This window comes from Homo sapiens, chromosome 3 (genome assembly GCF_000001405.40).
Source record: "Homo sapiens chromosome 3, GRCh38.p14 Primary Assembly".
Lineage (NCBI taxonomy): Eukaryota > Metazoa > Chordata > Mammalia > Primates > Hominidae > Homo > Homo sapiens.
In genome coordinates, this window is record NC_000003.12 from 194,723,297 (window position 1) to 194,749,148 (window position 25,852).

The window sequence follows — 25,852 nt, forward strand, 5'->3', positions numbered from 1 at the left end:
GTGCATGTGATTTGGGTGATAGAGGCATTGAATTAGCCCACATTTATCCCCACTCATGGGCTAATCCTTCTTCTCTTCTCTCTTCCTAATTCCAGTTAATGGTGGCTCTATCATTCCCTTTGTCCTCTAAGCCAGAGATTCAGAAGTAATGCTAGATGCTTCCCTCTCCCTCACTTTAATCTGTTACTCATAACTTAAATTTGCGGCCGGGCATGGTGGCTCATGCCTGTAATTCCGGCACTTTGGGAGGCCGAGGTGGGTGGATTACCTGAGGTCAGGAGTTCGAGACTAGCCAGGCCGACATGGTGAAACCCCGTCTCTACTAAAAATACAAAAATTAGCTGGTGGTGGGTGCCTGTAATCCCAGCTACTCAGGAGGCTGAGGCAGGAGAATCTCTTGAACCCGGGAGGTGGAGGTTGCAGTGAGCCGAGATTGCCCCACCACACTCCAGCCTGGGCAACAGAGCAAGACTTCCTCTCAAAAAAAAAAAAAAAAAAAAAAGGCTTCCTGAATATTTCTTGACTCTCTTCTCTTAATCCCCACTCCCACTTTCTAGTTCAAATCTCATTGCATATCATCTATAGCATTGAAACAGCCTTCTAGCTGCTACCAATCTTTCCCAGTGATGTATCCACTCCTTAGTCACAAGATGACCTTTCCAAATGATGGGTTTGATTGTGCCTCTCCCATTCCTTTGTATGCACCAGACTCTGTTCTAGATCCTGAGGGTGTAGCAGTGGCCCAGACAGTCAGGATTCCTGCCCACATGGAACTTAACTTGTTGTGGAGGGAGGGAGGACAGACAGTAAACAAGATAAGGCAGTAAAACAGAAAGCATGTCAGAAGGGTGAGAGGTGCTTTGGAGAAACATAAAGCAAGAAAGCGGGTTAGGGAGTTCTGTCGGGGGAGTGGCTGTGATTTTAAATAGGGTGGTGAAGGAGGGCCTCGCTGAGAAGGGACATTTGATTAAAGTCTTTAAGGAGTTCAGAGAGTGAGCCTTGCTGATTTAAGGAGGAAGAGTGCAAAGGCCCCGAGGTCACAGCACGTATGGTCTCCACTTAAGGATGAGCCAGGAGGTTGGTATGTTTGGAGAAGGGGAGATGGGAAGCCAAGGTGAGAGACGTGAGGAGAGCCAGGTCACAGAGGGCCTTGGAAGCCAGTGTCACACCTGAGTGAGATGGGAAATAGATTGGAAGGTTCTGAGAACAGAGTAGCCTGCTCTGGCTCATCTCATAATGAGGTCACTCTGGCTGCTGCGTTGGGAGTAGGGGGTAAAAGTGGAAGCAAACAGACCACTAGAAGGGCTACTGCAGGAATCCAGGTGAGAGTTGATAGTGATTTGGATGAGGTGGTGGTCCTGGAGGTGGAGAGGTGGTCAGATTTTTGACAACTTGAAGGTAAAGGTCACAGGATTTGTTGACGGTTTGAATGAAATAGATGAGAGGAGTCAAGGGTGACCACTTTGGCCTGAGGAACTGGAAGGATGAAGTTACAGTTCCTGAGATGACAAAGACTGGGAGGAATGAGTTTTAGGGACAGCTCATGAGTTCAGTTTTTTGTTTGCTTGTTTATTTTTTGAGACGCAGTCTTGCTCTGTCACCTAGGCTGGAGTGCAGTGGCGTGATCTCGGTTCACTGAGACCTCTACCTCCCAGGTTCAAGCGATTCTCCTGCCTCAGCCTCCCGAGTAGCCGGGATTACAGGCATGCACCACCACACCTGGCTGGTTTTTTGTACTTTTAGTAGAGATGGGGTTTCACCATGTTGGCCAGGCTAGTCTCAAACTCCTGACCTCAGGTGATCTACCCGCCTCGGCCTTCCAAAGCGCTGGGATTACAGGCGTGCGCCACCATGCCCGGCCGATGAGTTCCGTTTTGAACACGTGAAGTCTGAGATGCCTTTAGAGATCCAAGTGGAAATGTCAGGCGAGCAGTTGGACGTACGTATCTGAAAATCAGGGGGGGTGTATGTGTCAGATATATACATTTGGGAGTCAACAGCTTATAGATGGAATTTAAAAGCATGAAACAGAATGAGATCCCTGAGATAACAGGGGTAGATAGAGAAGATGTCCAAAGACTGAGCTTTGGGTAACTTCAAGATAAAGAGATCCAGAGAGGAGGAGGGACCAGCAAAGACTGGGAAAGAACAGGAGGAAAGGTTGGGGGAAAGCTAGCAGAGAGCCCTGGTAACCTAAAGCCAAAAAAATAAGCGCTTAGAGGAGGACGATGTCATTAACCAGGTCAAGGGCTGCTGATAGGTCTAGCAAGGTGGACACTGGAGAACTGACAAAATGCAGTTAGCCAGAGGCAAAGAATGACCTTTGCAAAGCAGAGGCCATTGTTTTGATGGTGTTCCGGGGTGAAAACGCAGTTGAAGTGAGTGTAGTAGAGAATGGGAGAATGGAAATTGGAAGGTGCCAGAATTCATAACGTTTTTAGGAGTTTTGCCATAAAGAGAGAGAAGTGAAGTGGTAGCTGGAGGGGGAAATGAGGTTGAAAGCTTTTTTGGTGAGTGGGGGACAGGAGAAATAATTGCCCGTGTTTATACGCAGTGGAGAGGTCCAGGAGAGAAGGGAGCATGGCTAGAGAGATGGGATTGAGCAGAGGGGTGGAGGAGCTGGCCTTTGCTGGGAGAGGGCAGATTCTCTATAAAAGACTGGGAGATAAAAGTAAGTAGGTTGATGTGATGGGGGTTCTTTTGGAAGGTCACAGCTGCCCAAAGACCCCTCAGCGGCTCCCCATGGTGCCCTGCGTGACAGAGTTTACGGACCTCAGCTCCAGGTTCTATCTCCCTGCCCTCAACTCTTGCCCTTTCTTAACCCCTGCTGCCCCGTCCCAAGTCTGCATTTACACACGTGGTTGTGTGGAGCACTCTTGCTCTCTTTGTCCTGCCCAATCTTTAAGACCTAATGTCACCTCCTCTGTTCCTCTGGGTTCCCACCATAATCTGCTCAGATCTGCACTTTATCATAGCACCTTATCACTTGTCATTTTTATTTACTCATTAGCCTTCCGTCCAGGTGATCTCCTTGAGGGCAGATGTTTTGCCTTCTTATTTGTCTGTATTCACAGCCAACCCCTCCCCCAGGACAGTGTCTGGCACAGGGAAGGAAATAAAAATCAGGTACCCAGGAAACCACAAGTGGTTCTACGTATACTTTTTACGTAAACCTTTAAATCAAATTATAACATATTTATATATGTATAACCACATAATTTTAAGTGTATATCTCTATGTTTTCAAAGGAAACGTGTGTGGCCTATTCCCATAACAATAAACAGCACCTTACCAGCACCCTTGTCTCCTTCAGAAACTACCCCGATGAGACCTCCTGTCTTGACCTCTAATGTCATGGATTAGTTTTGTCTGGTTTTGAACTTTACATAAATGGAATCAAACAGGCTGTACTTTTTTTTTTCTTTTTTAGATGGAGTCTCGCTCTGTTGTCCAGGCTGGAGTGCAGTGGGGCGATCTCGGCTCACTGCAACCTCTGCCTCCTGGGTTCAAGTGATTCTCCTGCCTCAGCCTCCCAAGTAGCGGGGACTACAGGTGAGCACCACCATGCCCGGCTAATTTTTGTATTTTTAGTAGAGACGGGGTTTCACTGTGTTAGCCAGGATGGTCTCGATCTCCTGACCTTGTGATCCGCCCTCCTCGGCCTCCCAAAGTGCTGGGATTACAGGCGTGAGCCACCGTGCCCAGCCCAGGCTGTGCTCTTTTATGTCTATGTTGTTTCCTTCACACTTACGTTTCTGTGATTCATCCACTAGGTAGTGTACAGCATTGCTTGTTCATCCCAGTGCCGTGTGGAATTCTGTTGTGTAAATACAGCACAATCTGTGTATGCACTCTCATGTTGCCTCACATTTCAGTGGTTTCTGGCTTTCATTTTTTACAAATAGCACTGCAATGAATGCTGCTGCACACGCTGTTGAGCTCGTGGACACTTTCCTGCTGGGTGAGGACCCGAACGTGAAATTGCTGGGTCATGGATTCAAGTGCTACACATATTTTTGACCACATTACTGTGACTCAGGAAGCCCAGGAACAGAATTCTAGGCACCAGAACCATACATGTTACAGCCTCTGAGCTTTATGGCCTCTGAGCCATTTGTCCAGCCACATCATTTGCAGATGAGATCCTGAGACTCAGGCTGGAAAAGTGACCGGGGAAAAGTCACACAAGTCAGAGGCAGAGCTGGAGTTTCCTCATTTCCAGGCCCGTATAGATCAAGACGGACGTTGGTCAAACACCTCCTAGTACTCACATGAAGAAGCTCTCCTTTCTGCTGTAGGAATGATCACACACCATTCCAATCTGGATACCAAATGTCATTGTTTATTAAATGTGTGCAGTGTGCCAGGCATATTGTGTCATATGTTTACATGTGTCATATATTTACATTACATATGATCGCTGGTTCTTACAACAACCCTTCAAGACAGGTCATATCAAGCCCATTTTTCAGACGGGAAAAAGAGCTCAGAGGGGATGATTAGCTTGTTCAGGTTTTCCAGTTTCCTTAGGAAGTGGCAGAGCTGGATCTGAACTCTGCTTGTGACTACTTGGGGGATGGAGGAGTGAACTCCTTTTTATCAGATCCTGGCTGCTTCGGCACCAGAAGAATGCTTCTTCCCCCTCAGGCCCTGGGGGGTTCCTCTAAAGAATAGAGACTCCCGGCTTTCCATGAGACAAAAAGCAGGCAATTCAACACGGCAAGCCCTTAATATACCTGCACGTTTCTCTGTAAGGACTGATTTAGAAAGCGGACTCACAGCCACTGCACTGATAGCAGTTTCTATTCTAAAACCTATGGAAATTGTGAACACTTGCCCCCAAAAACTCTCCCAGAAACCTTTAGGACAGTGAGGCTGTGTTCAGAAACTAATTGCACCCATATCTGAGGAGCTACCACATGAACTTCATTATTCACAGAATCTTTATAGAGAGCTACCTTACCTCCCTGTCCCTGTCCCATATCCTTGATGAGAGTTAAAATAAAAACTGAGAAAAAGATAAATGACAACCATTGACATGTGTCAGGTATTACTTATAATTCCTGACAATATATACTTAATTCTATATTATATACTTAATTCGATAATACTTATGTTGTGTCATATACTGATGAATCACTCTTTTTTTTTTTCTTTTTATGAGACAGGGTCTTGCTCTATCACCCTGGTTGAAGTGCAATGGCAGGATCTTGCAATCTCAGCTTACTGCAAGCTCAGCCTTCCAGGCCCAAGTGATCCTCCCACCTTACCCTCCCAAGTAATTGGGACTACAGGCATGTGCCACCAGGCCCGGATAGTGTGTGTGTGTGTGTGTGTGTGTGTGTGTGTGTGTGTGTATAGAGATGGGGTTTTTCACCACGTTGCCCAGGCTGGTCTTGAACTCCTGGGCTCAAGCAGTCTGCCTGCCTTGGCTTCCCAACAGTAGCTGCCATCCCGGCTCACTGCAACCTCTGCCTCCTGAGTTCAAGTGATTCTCCTGCTCATCCTGCTCAGCCTCCTGAGTAGCTGGGATTGTAGATGCGTGCCATCATGCCCGGCTAATTTTTGTATTTCTAGTAGAGACGGGGCTTTGCCATACTTGCTGAGCTGGTCCTGAACTCAGGTGAGACGCCCACTTCGGCCTCCCAAAGCGCTGGGATTACGGATGTGGGCAACCGCACCCAGCCCCAAATTGCTCTTAAATGAATTCTCTCAGTTCCCAAATCACTCTTAAATGAATTCTCTCAATCCATTCCCCCAACAATGCTTTAAGGTAGGTAGTATTATCCTCTTCCTTTTACAGATGAGAAAACAATACCTACAGTGGTGGAACAGCTTGCCCAAGGGCACACAGTAAGTGAATGGGCTGTGGCTTGACCAAGCGCCTGCACAGCAGCCTTGCTCTCTTTATTCTCATTGGTTGTCGTGGTGCACAGGGCTAAGCACTTGGTAGGTGCACCAAAAATGCTTGTTTACTAATTGATACCTTCCTTCCACTAAGGTGTTAAGTGTTGCTCTCCTCTACTTTACAGATGGAAAGTCAGTGTATCACCAAGTGATCCATCTCTGTGGGAATAAAAAGTATCTGTTAATTCCAGCCTCTGCACTTTGCATTAACTAAAGAGCGTCTGCGAGACTGGGAGACTGGCGCATTAGCAGGTGACTCTGTGGGCTATGAGCCTACAAGGACAGCTGCTTTACTTAGATTTATTGAGAGGGAAATGTGAAAGGCACCTAAAAGTCGGCTGACTTACCTCTTTTCCCTTCCAAACTCTCTCTGCTATGTGAATGGTCTCTGGTCTCCTGTATGGGGTGGGGGTGGGGTGAGGGAAAAGGGGAGAGGAGTAAGGGGAAGTAGAGGGAGAGGGATTGAGACTATAGTGGGTTTTTTGTTTCAAGGTGGTCCATTGCACACAGCCAAGAACTTCTCGGCTTTAAAAATTCCCTCTAATTCTTGCCAACATCTGAAATGAAATGGTAGAGGTATGAAAATAAAAAAAAAAGCAAACAAACCATTTTCCAAAGTCATGTTTAACGAGAGTAAGCCTGGGAACAAACACTTGAGGGTTTGGTGTTTTTGTTTTTGTTTTTTAAAATTGTTTTGTGCTGCTTTTCACTTGGAACATATCACTTTATCACAAGGGACATACACATCAATCAGCTTGGTAATGAGGTTACCCCAGCTGGGGCACCCTGATAGTACAGTCCTGGTTTGGGCAGTAATTAACTACATGACTTGGGGTAGTGACTTAACTTATCGGCATCTGAGTGCCCATCCATGTAAAAGCTATGTGGCTACTGTCAGACGTGAGGGATGAAGACGGGTGAGTGTTTGGTGTGTGTGGAGAGGAGAGTAGGTGGAGGCATTGCAATATTGTAGATTTATTGTCACCCCTACCCACAGCGATCCTGTAGAAATTTTGCAACAGAGATTTGCAACCTTTTTGGAGGAGAAACTATTTTCAGTTTCCCCTAGTATGTGGTAGGAATTCAGTCATTCCTCTGATTAAAATCTAAATGGCTGCCACTTTCATGATAAAGTTCACATTTCTGTCTTTTTTTTTTTTTTTTTTTGAGTGGAGGTTTAAGAGGCAAAAGAAAAAGAATGAGAAAGGAAAACAGCTCTCTAGTGAGCGAGAGGGGACTTCCGAGAGGAAAGACCGGCTGCTGGTGGATGTGCCGGATTTTATAGTCAGGCTTGAGGAGGTGTTGTCTGATTTACATAGGGCCCACAGATTGGTTCAATCAGGTATGATGTTTACAAACTGTGCGGGCAAGCCTGGCCACCCCGCCCTAATCCCATTATGCAAATGAACTTTCCCCTTGGCCGGTGCCAACTTGTCTGCTCCTTACTGTACACGTGACTGGCAGAGAAGGGAAGAGGGAGCCGCCATCTTGAACATGATTGGCACAACTGACAGCATCTGTGTCTGCAGCTCGATTTTATAGGCTGCTCTGTGTTAGAAAGAAAAATAATTTGGGGCTGCTTTTCATCAAAAGGAAAATCTTGCCAAGGACTTCCATACCCTCACTATCTGCCTAAGTAATTTCTTCTTAACTCCTGTATCATTCCGCCCTCTGGAGTGGTAACCCTAACTGTTGTTAGGGGGTGTTGGATAAACACTCTTTCTGGCTACTTCTTGCTGAAAAGGGGCATTGTGTGGGGAACAGCAGCTAGGGCTCCTCCTGGGGTTGATTTAAGGATCCTCGGAAGAAAGGTGTGTCCATGCATGGTTCTGTCTGAAGCAGCGTTTGGAGTTTGATTGCTGTCAGCCATTCTGATGGGTTCTAACACTGGTTTGCCTCCATTAGATGTTGCGTTTCGATGAATGTTGTACCTTGGTATCCCGGACGAGGTCCCCGATATGAAGCAGCTGTTGTCTGGGGTAAACACCTGGGGTTTGTTGTCTTGCACCAGGAACATTTAGGACACGGACACACATGAGGAGTTTAGGAGCAGAGGTTTAATAGGCAAAGGAAAGAGAAAGGAGAAAGGAAAACAGCTCTCTCTCTAGTGAGAGGGGACTTCCAAGAGGCAAACACCCAAAGTCCAAATTTCTTTAACCTGCCCAACAGGGATTAAAGACAATACCACTTTAGGCATGTTTTAATTTTTTGTGTGTCTTCAGGCTTTATGTACAAGTTACCTGGATCAGATTAATTCAGCTAAAAGAGTTTTTATGAGCTCAATTAGATGGAACTTATCTTAAAATGCCCGAGGATCATCTAGATTGGGAGGTGATCCTCTGAAGCACAGATTATTACATGGCAGGTGCTAGGTTTAAGTTTTGCCCCCAAAGGACTCCCAATCTATAGCTCCAGGAGAGCTATACTTTTATTCTCAAGCCTATTTGATGTGCATGAATGCCCTTGCAGTGCTGGCGGGGTGACTTCATTAGAAGAGTTTGTCATCTCTGCACCTTGCTCTGCACTCCCATGACCTCTCATGGGGTGCTCGCAGCAAAGAGATCTTTCAAGCAGGAAAGATCTTGCTGTGAATTCACCTTGCTGTGAATGTCAGGCTCTTGGATTGAGTCCCTAAAGAAGCCCCTGACCCTGACCCTCATCTCCAGAGCCTGGGGTCCCTGGCAGTCTGCCAGGCTTCTTGGAGGTTAATTTCTGCAAGAGTGAACATACATACAATCAATTCCCAACAAGGAGACTGTTCCTGTGGCACATGGAACATGTTGTATGGGGAAGTGCAAATGTCAAGAGCCTCTGAATTGTTGAGAGAAAATGTCTTGTTCAGAGAGCGACTGCAATCCGATTCCCATCTGATTGTCTTGCATTACTCTGTTTTCTCTCTTTTGCATTTAAGTGTTTAAAAATAAAAGTATGCAAATATGAGACATGGGCTGCTACTGTGGAAACAAAGTGGGATAATTATTACTTGGTATTCTGCGCAAAAGAAGGCTAGACAGTTTAATTCTAGAGACCTAAGTTTGGAAATTAGAAGGAATGAAAGTTAAATGGGGAAGAATATATCCTAGGATAAAAAGATCCCCAAAGTTAATGTGTCCAACATGTCCTTATTTATTCTTTAACACAATTAACAGTTGCAAATAATTTATTTTAAGAGACTGCTGATAGTAACTTGTTAACCTATAGACTATCCATCATGTCCTTGGAACACCTGAGGTGGGTTATGCCCATTTTCTGGTGATTTCGAGAGGGAATGGAAAATTTCAGTCGCCGGTTTAAGTAATGGAACCAAGAATTAAATTGCAAATGACAAAGTATTCCCTTGGCCTGTAGCTTTGAAAGTCACTTTCCAGTACAAATGTTGCAACAACAAAGGGAGCAAGACAATTTGTTTCTTTAGGGGTATTTATTCTCATCTCCCGTTCTGCCATTTCACTGCTATTTCCAAGGTCTGTTTGGGAGAGGAGGAGCCTTAAATGAATACACTCAACAACAGAAAAACCACAGACTGTTCGAACTGGGAGACCAAAGAGCCCAGCCTCGTCAGTGTCTGGCTAAGGATTCCGAGTCCCCAGAGGAAAAGGGACTTGCTTAAAGTCATAGAACTGGTATGAATGGGGAATGGGGAAAGACTCAGGGAGAATGTTCCAGACAGAGGGAATACTTGTGCAAAGTCTCCAAACCTGGGAGGTGTTTGGTATGTTTAAGAACCCAGAAGAAAGCCATGTGTGGCTGGAGCACAGGGGCTGGGCAGAAGAGGAAGCTGGAGAGGAAGCCCCAGCTGGACCACAGGAGGACATCTGCTATTTATTTATGTATTTATTTGAGACAGAGTCTCACACTGTCACCCAGGCTGGAGTGCAGTGGCGTGATCTCGGCTCACTGCAACCTCCCCCACCCGGGTTCAAGCAGTTCTCCTGCCTCAGCCTCCTGAGTAGCTAGGATTACAGGTGTGTGCCACCACGCCTGGCTAATTTTTGTATTTTTCATAGAGACGGCGTTGTACCATGTTGGCCAGGCTGGTCTCAAACTCCTGACCTCGTGATTTGCCTGCCTCAGCCTCCCAAAGTGCTGGGATTACAGGCATGAGCCACCGCTGAAAGAGACGGGATAAAAAAGATATTCCATGCAAATAGAAACCAAAAGAGAGCAGCAGTAGCTGTATCATTACCAGATAAGATAGACTTTATGTCAAAAACTGTCACAAGAAACAAAGGTTATTATAGAATGATAAAGGCTTCAATTCATCAAGAAGCTGTAACAATTGCAAATATATATACACCCAACATCAGAGCACTCCAATATAAAAAGTAGATATTAACAGATCTGAAGGGAGAAATAGACAGCAATACAATAATTGTAGGGTACTTCAATATCACACTTTCAACAATGGATAGATCTTCCAGACATGAAATCAATAAGGAAACATTGGACTTGAACAGCACTATAGACCAGACGGACCTAACTGACATCCTGGCATACCTTGGGGATATTTGGGTTCGGTTCTGACCACTGTAATAAAACAAATATCACAATAAAGCAAGTCATGAATTTTTTGGTTTTCCAGTGCATATAAAAAGTTATGTTTACACTATCCTGTAGTTTATTATGTGTGCAATAGCAATACATCTTTTAAAAATGTACATTATTTATTTTAAAATCCTTTATTGCTAAAAAAATGATAGTGATCATCTGAGCCATCAGCAAGTTATAATCTTTTTGCTGGTGGGGGTTCTTGCCTTGATGTTGATGGCTGCTGACTGATCAAGGTGATGGTTGCTGAAGTTGAGATGGCTGTGGCAATTTCTTAAAATAAGATAACGTTGAAGTTTGCAACATCGATATTGACTCTTCCTTTTATGAAAGATTTCTCTATAGCATGTGATGCTATTGGTAGCATTTTATCCACATTATGACTTCTTTCAAAATTGAGTCAATCCTTTCAGACACTATCACTGCTTTATCAGCTAAGTTTGTATAATATTCTAAATTGTTTGTTGTCATTTCAACAAAGCATCCTTAGCAGGAGTAGGTTGTATCTCAAGAAACTATTTCTTGGCTGGGTACAGTGGCTCACGCCTGTAATCCCAACACTTTGGGAGGCCGCGGTGGGCAGATCATGAAGTCAGGAGACTGGGACCATCCTGGCCAACATGGTGAAACCCTGTCTCTACTAAAATACAAAAAATTAACCAGGTGTGGTGGTGCATGCCTGTAGTGTCCCAGCTACTCAGGTGGCTGAGGCAGGGGAATTGCTTGAACCCAGGAAGCGGAGATTGCAGTGAGCCGAGATCACGCCACTGCACTCCAGCCTGGAGACAGAGCAAGACTCTGTCTCAAAAAGAGAGGAAAAAAAAAAAAAACCCAAAAAAAAGGAAAAAAAGAAAAAAGACACCATTTATTTGCTCATCCATAAGAAGCAACTCCCTGGGCTGGGTGCAGTGGCTCACATCTGTAATCCCAGCACTTTGGGAGGCCGAGGCAGGCAGATCACGAGGTCAGGAGATCGAGACCATTCTGACTAATACGGTGAAACCCTCTCTCCTACTAAAAATACAAAAAATTAGCCAGGCGTGGTGACAGGCACCTGTAGTCCCAGCTACTCAGGAGGCTGAGGCAGGAGAATGGGGCGTGAACCTGGGAGGCGGAGGTTGCAGTGAGCCAAGATCGCGCCACTGCACTACAGCCTGGGCGACAGAGAGAGACTCTGTCTCAAAAAAAAAAGAAGCAACTCCGAGCGTCACTTCTATAATAAGTCTAGTTATCTTGTTATTTATTTGTACCTCATCTGCAGGACTTCCTCCACCCAAGTCTTGATGCCTTCAAAGTCATCCATGAAGGTTGGAACCAACTTCTTCAAAATTGGTTGTTAATGTTAGTATTTCAGCCTCCTCCCGTGAATCACTAATGTTCTTAATGGCATCTAGAATGGTGAACCCTTTCCAGAGGGTTTTCAATTTACTTTGCCCAGATCCACCAGATGTGTCATTGTCTATGAGAGCTATGGCCTTACAAAAGCTGCTTTTCTTTTCTATAGTGTTACAACCATAACACTATAGAAATCATCAAATCCAGCTATATACATATAGCTGGGCCTTGTTTTTAATCCAATGGGCCCCTCTGTCTTTTGATTGGAAAATTTAATCCATTTACATTTAAAGTGATTATTGATTTTTAAGAATTATTATTGCTATTTTGGTAATTGTTTTCTAATTTGTAGATCCTTTGTTCCTTTCTTCTTCTGTTGCTGTCTTCCTTTGGGATTTGATGTTTTCTGTAGTGGCATTGATTTCTTTCTCTTTCTGTTTTGTGTATTTAGTGTAGGTTTTTGCTTTGCAGTTACCATGAGGCTTACCTAAAACATCTTATGGTTATAACAGTCTATTTTCAGCTGGTAACAACTTAACTTTTATGACGTACTAAAACACTACTTTTAATCCTCCTCCCACTTTATGTTTTTGATGTCACAATTTACATATTTTCATATTGTGTATCCATTAACAAATTATTGTAGCTATAGTTATTATTAATGTTTTTGTCTTTTCCTACCTCTTTCTAAAGCCTCTCTAATGTCTCCTCATTTCCCAAATTATGGGCCTTTGCAATTCCTACCCCTCTTCTGACCATTGGCATCACCCTGTCTAGACTATGAGCTCATGGAAAGCAGGGGCTGAGTCTCTTTTGTGCTTGGCCCATGGAAGGTGCTTGATCAAAGTTTATTCCTTTATCCTTGTTTTTGTCTTGGGAACATTTCCGCTTCAGCCTATCCTCATTTTTGGCACAAATGATTAGAATTGCAAGAACGTCTCACTGGTTCACCTGCCTCTTTGTCTCCTGAAGGACACTAGGGTTCGGAGAGCCAATGGTCCAATCAAGTGGCCAGGCCTGTGTCCTCTCTTCCTTACCCCTCAGTGGGCACACTGCCCTCTCTTCCTTAACCTTCAGTGGGCACACTGCCTTCTCTTCCTTACCCCTCAGTGGGCACACAGCCTCTGCCTCGGGATGCTCCTTCTGCTTTGGCTTCCTTTGCTTTGGCTTCTGCTGATTCTGTCCTTTTTCTCCAGCTTCTGCTGCAGTGGTCAGGTCTGTTGTTCTGCTGCAGTGGTTTGGTCTGCTGTCCTGCTGCAGTGGTCAGGTCTGCTGTCCTGCTGCAGTGGTCAGGTCTGCTGTTCTGTGTTCTGCTGCAGTGGTTTGGTCTGCTGTCCTGCTGCAGTGGTTGGGTCTGCTGTCCTGCTGCAGTGGTTGGGTCTGCTGTTCTGCTGCAGTGGTCGGATCTGCTGTTCTGTGTCCTGCTGCAGTGGTCAGGTCTGCTGTTCTGTGTTCTGCTGCAGTGGTCGGGTCTGCTGTTCTGCTGCAGTGGTCAGGTCTGCTGTTCTGCTCTCTCTCCTCTTGTGTCTGCTGCTTTGCGTTGGCTTCAGCTTCTGCTTTCTTCTGCCTTGTGCTTTGGCTTCTGCCTTTTCTGCTTCTGCTTTTTTCTCAGCTGCTTTTTCTGTTTCTGCTTCTCATCCTCCCTCTACTACGACTTCCCCAACCCAGTCTTGCTCTTCCGCCCTCTCTTCCCCACTCTTCCGCCCTCTCTTCCCCCTTCTTCTGCTTCCCATGCTTCTTCTACTGCTGTCTCTGCTGGTGCTTCTTCTTAGCTGTTGCTTCTCTCTTCTGCTTCTCTTTCCTCCTGTGCTTGCTGCTTCTGCCTCTGCTTTTCCTGCTGGTGCTTCTTCTGCAACATATTCATCTACTTCTCCTTCTGCTTTTTCTTCCTTTTCCTCCTCCTCTTGCGCTTTTCCTCCTCCTCCTCCTGCCTTTTCTGCTGCTTCTCTTCGTTCTGCTGCTGCTACTTTGGCTTGTTTCCATTTCTCTGCTCTGACTTTTGCTTTTGCTGCTTCTCCTTCTGCCGCAGCTTCTCCTTCCTCCACTGTGACTATGTCTCCCTCTTCCCTCCCCACCCTGCCTTTCTCTTCCCTCCTCTTCTTTCTCCCCTTCCTTTTCTCCCCCCGCTCTTCTTCTTCAGCTCCTGCTTCTATTTTTGCTCCTTCTGCTTCTTCTCTTGCTGTTCTTGTTTCTCCTTCCAGGGTTACAACATCTACTTCTCTTCCTCTTCCTTTCTCAGTTTCTCGCTCTTCCTCTGCATCTGTGTGTGTCTGTGTGTGCAGCTTCTGCTTTCTGAGCATCTACTTCTGCTTTGCATGTTTCTGCCACTTCTCCTTCTGCCTTTCCTGCTGCTTCTGCTGCTTCCATGCCCACTTCTTCTTTTCTGCCTCTGCCTCAGCGGCTGCTGCTGTTGCTACGCCTTCCTTCTTTTTTTCTTCCTCCTCTTCCTCTTCCTTCATCTTCCTCTCTTCTGTGGCCTTTGCTTCTGGTTCTGCTTTTTCTGCTCACTTTCCTTCTCCTCCTGCTCTGTCTTCTCCTCCTCCTGTCTTCTTCTTCTCTTCCTCCTCTGTTTTCTCCTCCTTCTTGTCTTCCTCCTCCTGCTGCTCAGTTTTGAACATGCTGAATTTAAGGTGCCTGTGAAACATTTACTTATACCTTCTCTAGGGCTTTCCAGTGTTCTTTAAGAGCTTCAAAATTTCCACCAACTTGGAACTTGCTGGCTGACCTTCAGAACAGTCTCTTTTAGTAGGTAGCAGATAATAACAAGACTTCACAAAGGAGCAGTACTCTACAATTAACCCAGTATTTACAAACCCATTATTTTATTAGTAGAACAGGGAAACTGAGGCTCAGAGAAATTCCCATACTTTGCAAGGCTGCATAGAAATAAGTGAAGCTTTTATAAGAACCTAGAGCCCCTTTTCCCAGGGTTTGCCGTAGGGCCTTACTTTTTAAAAATTTGTTATTTTAATAGACTTTATCTTTTTAGAAGCAGCTATAGGTTGACAGCAAAATTGAGAGGGAAGTACACAAAGTCCCAACAGGACCTTATGTTTTTACAGAGCTTAACAAGTCCCTTTGTATCCATGATTTCATCTGTTTAGGAATCACTTGAGAGGATGTCAGCTCAGAGAGGGAAGGGATTCAGTTATGCCCACACAGCAAAGCAATGCCACCTCACTGGGGTGAGGGCCCCTAGCTTCTTGTCCAAGGGCTCAGGAAGGACCAGTGCCATTCAGAAAAGTAGTGAGGCAGTGAGTGGTAGGTGTGGGCATTAAGCCAGCTTCTCTTAGTATGTCACCAGTCCCTCCCACTCACATCCCGGCATGAGAGAGTCATCCAGATCTGGTTCTCTGAGTTTTTCCATCCTTAAGGAAAATTCTAGTGACCTAAATCTGGGCCAGAAAACCAATAAACACAGGAGTTGCTTTTTAAGAAAAACTCAGTTGATAGGCTGAAAGTGCCACGAGGCCACAGGACAATTAGAGTATGCTGGGCTCCAAATGCTGAGCAGATGCCATCCTGGTTGGGAGCCAGGCCCTGGGAATAGAAACACCAGCCCTCTGTGCCAGCCCTGGCAGGGCCCTGGGAGGCAGCTGGTCTCCAGCCAGTGGCTCCCCTCTGTTGCCAGCACTGCACAGGCCCCAGGGGAATGAAAATTGAATTTGGCAAAATTCACATTCTTGTCTTTGGAGAGTGGGTGAGAGTTGCACCCTGGGAAGTAGATTATCAGCCAGCCCCATGAGGGGAGGGCTCACGTTCCTTTACTCGCCATCATGTCTCCAGGGTCAAAATCAGTGCCTAGCATATAACAGGTGCTCAGAAATGTTTGTTACTGACTATCTACACACTGAAGACAGGGAACGGAGCTTTCACCACTTCCTAAGGTTTCCAATTCCCAGATCTTTATGTTTGTAGGACTCTAGGTGGCTTCCGATTAAGTACCTATTGTTGAGGGGGACTGTGGGGAGTGGTTGTCCAAATAACAAGAGAATGGCTTCCACAGTCAGGTTCCATTTTAGAGGAGGCTCAGGGTGGAAGTAGTTTGCAAGGGAAGAGGCAGCCCGGCTGAGTCTTGGGTCTTGCAGGAAGGGAGGAAAGGGGATGCCAGAGAGATGTCTTGGGCATGGGAAGAGAGCCTAGGGCTTAACTATAGAAGGGCTTGTGGATGTCCTCTTGCTAGTTGTCCATTCACCAAGCATCTGTCTGTGGGCCTCTTCTTCGGGATGGGCTCTCCTGGGAAAGTACTGCATCTCTGTGTAGAGAAAGTGCTCCTTTCAGAGGAAGTGCTTTGAAGGGTGTGCTTAGAAGACATACCTTGCGATCTGGAGCGCAGATGGCCAAAGACACAAAAAGCCCCTGTGTACAGCCTCCCTGAACAGAGCAGCCCCACCCTAGAGGCTCCACTGGGGTCACTTCTGCCTACAAATAAGGACATGCTGCGAAACATGCTGACCAGTGCCTGCAGTGTGGGGCAGAGAAAGTAGCAGGTGGTTCAGGAAGACAGGAGGAAGCCTGTGGAGGGGGCAGCACCGGAGCTGGCCCTGGAAGTGTGGGGCAGACTTGGCCATAGAAGGGCAGCATAATCAAAGGCGAAGAATCGGGAGTGTTGTGTGAGTCACAGGTCATCCTGTTTGGCTTGAGGCTCAAGGAAGTGGGAGCTGAGGTTGGAAATGTAAACCTAGGCCAGGCAGAGCACCGTGGCTCACACCTGCAATCCCAGCACTTTGGGAGGCTGAGGCAAGAGAATCACTTAAAGATGGAGTTTGAGACCAGCCTGTGCAACAAAGCAAGACCCCATCTCTAAAAAAATTTTTTTAAAAATTAGCCTGGTGCCGTGGCATACACCTATAGTCTCAGTTACTCGGGAGGCTGAGGCAGAAGGATGGCTTGAGCCCATGAGCCCAGGCATTCAAGGTTACAGTGAACTATGATTACACCACAGCACTCCATCCTGGATGACAGGACAAGCCCTGTCTCTATAAACAAATAAACCAGCCAGGCACGGTGGCTCATGTCTATAATCCCAGCACTTTGGGAGGCAGAGGTGGGTGGATCACGAGGTCAGGAGATAGAGACCATCCTGGCCAACATGATGAAACCCTGTCTCCACTAAAAATACAAAAAAAAAAATTAGCTGGGCGTGGTGGCACGTGCCTGTAATGCCAGCTACTTGGGAGGCTGAGGCAGGAGAATAGCTTGAACCAGGGAGTCGGAGGTTGCAGTGAGCCCAGATCATGCCGCTGCACTCCAGCCTGGCGACAGAGTGAGACTCGGTCTCCAAAAAAACAAACAAACCAGTAAACAAGGTCAGAGATGTATGTGTCCTCCCCACGTCCCTCTGCTTTTTTTGACTTCTGGTGAAGAAAATTAGAGGATTAAGTTAATCAGATCCTGCAGTTCATGACATATTACCATCATTGGTCCCTACACATTCCCTCTCTTGATTTGCTTATGTATTCTCATTTCCCCATCCATAGCGGGATGGCTTGCTTCTAATACATTTGCCATCCTTCTTTGTGTTTGTGCATGTTCTTATATAAGTGATATTGCTGCCTAGTTCTTAGGATGCATTTTGCTTTAATGTATGTAAATGATTTGGGATTTCGTATATGTTATTCTGCTGCTGGCTTTTTTATTTGGCACTAGGATTTTAAGATTCATTCATACTACCAAGTGTGCGTACAGGCAATGACTTCTAAGGGCTGTGTAGTACCACTGAAGTACACCCACTACATCCTGTCCACGCCCAGGGGTGGACATCCATGTTGCCCACAAGTGGTTCCTTGGCAAAGGAACGCCATGTTGAGAGTTGACTTTTAGGCAGGCTGGTGGCCTGACAGGGCTGACGCATGATCACCAGTCAATGAGACACTGGTGAGCCCAGCTTGGATGTGTCCAGCTGGAGTTAAGTGGCTGTGACTTCAGGTACTTAAGGGACCTGCACGGCTTCTTACAGGCGGTCTGCATTCTTGGTAACGCGTAATGTAGTGACTCATGGGAGAAATATTAGGTCTCGGTCCTATCTCGGTCCTAGCTTTGAAAGGACAATGTGTTTTTGATGCATAAGAGGAAGTTTAGGAAGCAGCCCAGGAGGTCTGTTTTCCCGAAGGTTGGGCTGTGAGTAAACGTGGTCTTTGGTTTGATGCAGGGAAAGGGCGGGGGAGGGGTGGCACATACCCGCAGCAATCCGGGGGAATGGCATTGAACTGGAAAAGTGTGTGTGTGCATGTAAGTGTGAGTGTGAGCATGAGCATGAGTGTGTGTGTGCCAGAGTGTGTGAGAATGTGACTAGTCCGGAAGGGCAAGACATGGAGGTGGCATAGGGACAGGCTGTGGTTATGAGACTGTCTTCGTTCTCTCTTTTACTCATCCAACCTTGCCACGACTTAGCCTGCTGCTGGATCCCCTCCGAAGCTTCTCACTGAGGAGCCACAGTAAACTGTTATTCTTCATTTAACTGGGTTGGTTCCTGTGTATGCTTCCTGTACTTCTGGAGAATTTGTTTTCAATTTAGGGAGACAGTCCCTCTCTAAAAGAGCCCAGCAGCGCCACTGTCTGCACAGCACGTCTGTCCATCTGAGTGCATAAAGAGGCCGGGTGTGGTGGCTCAAGCCTGTAATCCCAGCACTTTGGGAGGCCGAGGTGGGTGGATCATGAGGTCAGGAGTTCGAGACCAGCCTGGACAACATGGCGAAACCCTGTCTCAACTAAAAATACAAAAAATTAGCTGGGTGTGGTGGTGGGTGCCTGTAATCTCAGCTACTCAGGAGGCTGAGGCAGGAGAATTGCTTGAACCCGGGAGGCAGAGGTTGCAGTGAGCCAAGATCATGCCACTGCACTCCAGCCTGGGCGGTAGAGGGAGACTCTGTCTCAGAAGAAAAAAATAATAATAATAAAAAAAGAAGGTCTTGCAAAGGCACTCAAGCAGCCGAGGATGCGGTTTTACTTCTCAATGTGCTCCTTTCAGGCTGGCCAAGGCTTGGAGGGGGCAGGCAGGGGAAAGGGCATCAATGTGACGCAGTCCTAGGATCCCAGGCATTTCCTCTCCACCTCCAAGACCCACAGATGACGTCTCCAAGGCAGGTTGCAGATTGGATCCAACAGAGGTCCTGGGAATCTCTACGTCACCTCTATTAATTATTTCCATGCATGTCCCATCCCTTGGAAAACCCTGTCAGTAAAAGAATGAGCGTGGTTCCTCAGTTTCCTCCATGTGGAATGCAGCTACTTCCACAGTGACATCAGCATTGGAGATGCCTGCAGCTCTGGGGCTGGCAGTTCCCCGAGGGTGGGGCCCATGCCCATCCTGTTCACTGCTGGACCACAGCATCTAACACAATGCCTGGCATATAGCATAAAATATAAATTCAATATGAATTGAGCAATATCTGAAATTAAGTGGCAGGGACCAGAGAAAGAATCCGATTTTACAGGGAAAACGAGATTAAGAGAGTTGAAGGAGGCGTTTCTCAATTTTATTATTGAAAGTTTCTGGTAAATTATTTGATATGACACTTTGACAGGACACCCTTAAGTTATGGGCAGCTTTGATTGCTAGAATGTTCTTCTTTAGAAGCAAGCAAACACTCCTTGATGGAATACCCGCTGGATGTTCTGCTCTGGATGAAGCCTCAGGGCTACTATATATAGAGTATAATATATATTTATATATAATATATTTAATATATAAATATATATTTATATATAATGTATTTTATATATATATATTTATATATATATATATTTAGAGGCAAGTTCTTGCTCTGTCATTCAGGCTGGAGTGCAGTGGCATGATCCTAGCTTGCTGCAGCCTTGAACTCCTGGTCTCAAGTAATCCTCCCACCTCAGGCTCCTGAGCAGCTGGGACTATAGGTGCACACCACTATGCCCAGCAACTTTTTTCTTTTAGAGATGGGGTCTTGCTATGTTGCCCAGGCTGGTCTTGAGCTCCTGAGCTCAACTGATGCTCGCACCTCGACCTCCCAAAGTGCTGGGATCACAGGTGTGAGCCACCCTGCCTGACCCAGAGCTAATATTTTGGAGCATCTTCTCCGAGCTGGGCATTGTTTTAGGTGCCCTACTTGCATTACCTTATTTAATTCTCATTGTAGTCCTTTGAAATAAATCCCCAGTTAGCAGAAAAGGAATCTAAAGTTTAGAAGGGCAAATGCTTTAAGCAAAGTAAATGGCCCCGCTTTCAGCTGGGGAAGCTGCTGAGAGGACATACTGCATTTAGAGGAGAATGAGAGATGCCCTCAAACTTTCAGCCCTTCACTTTTAGATCAATTCCACTCTTTACAGGAGATTTACATTTTATTCTTAGTGCTTTTCTGAAAGTCCCAACTATTTTTAATTTTTTTATAGTTAGAATATAAATTAATGTGTTATAAAAATAAAATGGAATTTTAAACAGAAAGCTGGCTTGAAGATTTTGTAATGAGCTTACTATTTGAATAATGACACAGAATTCATGTTAACACAAACAATGCACCTTAAAGTAAAACCCATTGACAGAGGCTGCAAGTGAAAGACTGTGAAGTGATGCATATAGTTGCTATATTTAAGCTATTAAGGGCTCAAGGGTATTCTTTTGCCTTTAGGATTGCCTTGGAAAGAAATCAAACTCAGAAACAGACAAGCCAAGCCCACCGTATTCTTGGAGACACCTTCAGGTGATGGGAAGGGCCGCCCACTCTTGCAGGTCCTCCTTGGCTGACGCAGGCTTTCCTTCGCCCTCCCTAGGATGGCCTCTGAGGCCCTCTACCTTCCACTTCCCTCTGTTCTCTCCATTGCTCAAGATTTCTCACCTAAGTGGCCTTTTTTCCCCTGACATGACCAGGCTATTCCTATTCCTGGCTCAGAGCCTTTGCACTTGCTGTTGCCTCTTCTTGGGACTCCTCTTCCCCAGATCTTTATGTGGCTGGCTCCCTGTCTTCATTAAGGTTCCAGTTCTGGCATCCCATTCTCAGGAAGCCTTGCCTGACGATCCTCGCTGAAGAGGTGCCTTTCTGCCTCCCTGCTCTAGCTATCCTGGCCACTCTGTATCCCATAACAGAATATGACTCCGTTCTATTGTCTTGATAACATTTGTCATATGTCAAATGATCTTATACATATAATTGCTTAGGTGTCCCTTACCACCTTTCCCTTTGGACCACTCAGTGAAAGCAGGCACTTCTTCTTGTTCACCATTGTTTCGCCAGCACCTATGCTGTGCTGTGTACAAAGGATGTGCTTAGCAAGCATTTGTCAATTACATCAATGACTGAATACTTGGATGAGTGAATGAGCCAGCTAAACTGGAGGTAGTACAGTAAAAAGGGATCTGGACTGAGGAATGAAAAGACGCCATAAAAGTTCTCACCTCCTTGCTCCATCAACACAGGGGCCATTGATTTTTGCGAAAACCCCTTAATCTCTTTAAGCCTCAACTTCCTCATCAGAAAAATGGGGATAACAACACCTTCCCTTTGTGCCTCCCCAGGTTGTGAGTGAGGAATGGATGCCATTGTTAGTGGCTTCCGTTGTGCTCAGTGGAAACACGCATCTACAGGTAGAATGTAGAGGAACAGCCCAATTCAGCTGTCTTGTGGATTTCAGGTTTGTTTTTGTTTTTTTTTTTTCCAAGCAACAACTGAGTGTTTCCTGAGCACTATTAGATCCCCAGAGCTCCTAGGGACTGGGATCTGCATAAGAGGCAGGGACCTGGCCCTTGATTTAATTGGGGAGTAATTAGTGAGCAATGCCAGCCCTTTATTAGTCATGGTCTAATAAGCTGAAATGAAGTAAGGCCAAAAAAATCCATTAACTATAGCCATATTTACACTTTCGTTGTCAGCCACACCATTGTTGGTTTAAAACAAGCCGCCTTTAATTTATTATAGTCATTATTTCTGTCTGGAAGAGAAATTCAGGAAGGAACCTGAATTTCGTAAGTATGCGTGCAATGATTACAGTTGAAGGGAATCTATGCTTGGTGGATATTTTTCAGAACCAGTGAATCTCAGAATAGTAGAACTTTTACTACTTCTAAGAAAGAAATAGGTCTCACACTGCACTAATAAAGAAGGTCCTAGGAACTATGTTTGCTAAGAGACTTCCCTTTTGGTCTTAACTGCTAACTAACACAGCAGGAACCTGAATTATTTGGGAGATAGGACTTGGAAATAAGAAAGAAGAGAGTGAGGTATGAGCATGACAGGACCAAGCCTCTCAGGCTGGGGTGAAGATGGCACACTTTGGGTGCAGTGAGGAGGCTGGCCTGCCTGGAGTGGGGTTTGTGCCGAGAGGCAGCGAGAGATGCTGCTGGGAGCATGTGGAGAAGGGCTTTGAATACCAGGGCAAGGAACATTGTGGTAGATTGTGTTTTTCAAAGATTGCTGCAACAATATGTTCATCCTACATTCTCTTCTTAAAATGTGATCCTGCTACCCCTCCCACTGCAGGCTGTGGTCTCTCTGCCTCTCTCTGGAACACAGGAGGAACTTTGCTACTGCCTTGACCAACAGAATATGGGGGAAGCGACATTGTGTGAATTACAAGGTTAGGTCATACAAATTCTATGCACTTCCTTTTTTTCTCTCTTGGGACATTTTCTCTTGGAACCCAGTCACCACGCTCTGAAGAGGCCCAAATTGGCCCACGTTGAGAGATTACATGCAGAGGCCAGGTATAGGTGATCTGGCAGTAGTAAGCTGAAGACCAGAATTAAACACGAGACATGTAAGTGAAGATAACTCCAGCTACTGCCAGCCCCCAGCAGTTGAGCACACCCCCAGTCTTTATGTCTTCCCACATGAGGCCCCAGGTATGGTGGAACAGCAATAAACCACCCTGCTGAGTCTTGTTTAAACGCCTAGCCCTCAGCATCGGCAAGATAAGGGCTGGTTTATGCCGCTCCCAGATGGTTGTCTCATGGGGTGATTTGTTAAACAGAAAGAGAAACTGGAAGGAACACACACTTCAGTGGGAGGCATTAAGGATAGAGGCACACTCTGAGCCATGCCAGGAACCCATAGCATCCAGCACAGGGCATCCTGAGCTGCCGGCCTCACTGACAGTCATGGCAGTCATCTTTGCTCCTCCAGTCGTGGTAATTCTCAGAAGGTTTTCATGGATAAACATGGGGCAGGTGGTGCAGAGACTGCTTGCCATCTCTCTCCACAAATGAAGAAACTGAGACTCAGTGAGAGTAAGTGGCTAGCTAAAGTCCCTACAGTGGGTGAGTGGACCAAGCCAGCATCTCCCACACCCAGCAAAGCACCATCTAATTCTTCCTATTACACTGGCCTCGGTACCCTCCCTGTCTCCTGCCCTTTCCCTGATAGATGAAGAAACTCTGGCCAGAGAACCTCCATGCCTTGTTCAAGGTCCCTAAAACAAGCAAACAACATCCAGCGACTGCTGGGCACCATGCCGCTTGCAGGGACGTGGGTTTCTCTGGTTGACTACAGGTGACCCTGGTGTCCATCATGACTATTGTGATGTCATAGCTTGTCTAGACTAACTCCTCATTATACCCATGGGCAAGCCAGAGCCTACCCATTTTTAAGGTCCATCCACCTGTCCCCTCCTCAATAAAGCCTTCCCTGATGTCTCCACCACTAATAATTAATCACCTTCTCCGTGAGCTCCAATAACACTTTGCTCACAACTCTACCATAGCATATTATATGGAAGTATCTCTACTTATATATCCAGTGATTAATGCTGGCTGTCAACTGGGCCTTTAGCTGGGCTGTTGCCAAGACACCTACAATGACCTCTCCATGTAGTCTCTCCACATTAGAGACAACTGATAAGTGTTAATGAACTAGAAATGCACCTGCAGGTCCAACAACCAACTGGAGAATCTGAGTGTGTATAAGGGGAGAGAAGCAGTGCTCATGTGGGTATCTGGGGGCAGGGAGGGAGGGAAGAGAGTTTGAGTTAAAACGAAATGACTTTTCATTTCCCTCGGCAACCCCGAGAGTCTGGGTTTTCTTCTGGAATGTTTTGCGTGACCCACTCTGGTAGCAGGCTCTCTGCCAGTACATCCTGACAGAAAGCTCACAATTAGGGCCACGGTAACCAGAAACAGAGCTGGAAGGGCTGCCCAGGGCAGGCAAACGGAGCCCGGCAGTGTGGTCTGCACCATGCTAAGTCAGGGATGTCTGCAGGCCTGGCCAGAACCCTTGTGGCTGTGGCGTATTTAGGATGATCGACAGAGGCTGGGCCGGCCTGTGTCCCAGCCAGTGATGGGCTGGGAACCAGAAGGCTGGAGCAGATCTCAGGCCGGCCACTTCTTCCAGTTCAGTGAGCTATTTTTTTTTAATTTTTTTTATTTTAGATGGAGTATCACTCTGTCACCCCGGCTGGAGTGCAGTGGCGCGATCTCGGCTCACCGCAAGCTCCACCTCCCGGGTTCTATTGATTCTCCTGCCTCAGCCTCCTGAATAGCTGGGGCTACAGGTGTGTGCCACTGCGCCTGGCTAATTTTTGTATTTTTAGTAGAGATGGGGTTTCACCGTGTTGTTCAGGCTGATCTCGAACTCCTGATCTTGTGATCCGCCCGCCTTGGCCTCCAAAAGCGCTGGGATTACAAGCGTGAGCCACTGCGCCCAGCAAGCCTCTACCACGTGATGTCACAGGTGTGGGCCCAGCGGTGCACAAGTAAGACCCAGCTCCTCCACGCCAGCTTGCCCATCACTTGGAAACTTACATTGCCTCTCTTGGGCTTACTTTTCTTGTCTGTAAGAACTGGGCACCTGTGAGACATTTAGCGTGGTGGACACGTGGCCACGCCGTGCATTCTGGCTGAGAGCAAGTGTTCTCAGCCATCTCCCTCAGACCCTAACTCCACAGACCTCCCTTTCTCAGCAGGGTGACTAACAGACCATCAGAGTGGCAGGAAATTGGAGAATCGCTACGACAGTCACCCAGCCTGGCTGGCAGCATTGAAAGAACAAACAAGTGAGCCTCCAGAATTAAGGAATTAAGGAGAAAAGCAGCCCTGACTTCAGAGGGTGATGGAAAGTTTGCAATAGATAAGAATATTGAGCTGAGAGAGGGAAGGGAATAAGCAATCTTAACTAGTCGGTTTCCTTCCCAAAGTCCTCTTCAGGTGATTTTTTTCTCAGGAGGTTCAAAGCACTTGCCAGCTCCCTCTGAGGTGGCTTCTCCCCTGCCCCTGTGGTGAGCGTTAGTCAGATGGGGATGATGGGGACGTGCCGCTCAGGCAGAGCACACAGGCTCCGTGGGGCGGCGGAGACAGCACCGGACAGGCCAGCGGAGTCGGGTGGCTGTGTTCGAGGCCCGTCTCTGGATAAGCTGCTTTCTCTGAGGCTCGGCTTTCTCATTGTGTCTGTAACGTGAGAGGTCGGCCCGTGGCCGCACGGACCCTGCTCCCATCCTGCCTCGCTGTTCCTTTGCATCTGCAGCTCCCCCTCTCCCTACCCTTCAGCTCTTACTGCACACACTCACCCCTGCTTCCGTTCTGGTTTCTCCTCTCCTCCCTCATCTCAAATGGTGCCCACTGCAAGTCACTCCTTCTCCATCTCTGACTGCAACTGGCCCTTCCTTGTCAAAAACCCTTCTTCCTCCAGCTCTGGGCAAGCACTCCCTCCTGTTCTCCTGAGCAATCAGATGCCACACAGGTTACTACAGTGCAGCCCTCTCAGCTCTGACTACTTATAAGACACCGTGGGCTCTGTTTAAACCTGAAAGCTCGATTCGCCCCAAGCCAATGGAATCCAGTGTCTTTTCAAAGCCTCCTGAAGGATTCGAATGCGCTCCCAGGGCTGAGAACTAAGGTGGTCCACACCTCTGTCCCATGTGGATTAACCTCCTCCCTTTATAAAAACAAATTCAAGGCCCTTCAAAAGCCTTTTTCTTTTTTTTAGACAGAGTCTCAGTCTGTCGCCCAGGCTGGAGTGCAGTGGCTCCATCTTGGCTCACTGCAACCGCCCGGGCTCAGTTGATTCTCCTGCCTCAGCCTCCTGAGTAGCTGGGATTACAGGCATGCGCCACTACGCCCAACTAGTTTTTTGTATTTTTAGTAGAGGCATGGTTTCACCATGTT

General features: G+C 46.6%; 2 long non-coding RNA genes across 4 annotated transcripts in view, besides 1 other annotated feature; both read left to right on the forward strand.

The window, feature by feature from the left end:
- LOC105374292 (uncharacterized) overlaps positions 1-25,852 on the forward strand; it is a 120,878-nt gene that overhangs the window by 17,724 nt on the left and 77,302 nt on the right. Inside the window, exons 3-4 of one of the 3 annotated variants that reach the window (XR_002959667.2) lie at positions 3,431-3,552; positions 3,906-4,370. The exons of 1 other annotated variant lie outside the window; for it this stretch is intronic. This is a non-coding gene — a long non-coding RNA (uncharacterized LOC105374292). Of the gene's footprint in view, positions 1-3,430; positions 3,553-3,905; positions 4,371-25,852 lie in introns of those variants that run through there. One more of the 3 variants, XR_002959668.2, reaches the window with a different exon arrangement.
- Positions 1-25,852, forward strand: part of LINC01968 (long intergenic non-protein coding RNA 1968) — a 73,748-nt gene that overhangs the window by 14,876 nt on the left and 33,020 nt on the right. The window contains exons 2-3 of the long non-coding RNA NR_037891.1: positions 21,278-21,393; positions 22,239-22,335. This is a non-coding gene — a long non-coding RNA (long intergenic non-protein coding RNA 1968). The remainder of the gene's footprint in view (positions 1-21,277; positions 21,394-22,238; positions 22,336-25,852) is intronic.
- Positions 14,007-14,186: an enhancer, noted in NCBI's record as "active region_21035". NCBI's record gives its function as "activates an Ori minimal core promoter by ATAC-STARR-seq in GM12878 lymphoblastoid cells {active_cell/tissue: GM12878}" and the evidence as "EXISTENCE:reporter gene assay evidence [ECO:0000049][PMID:35858748]".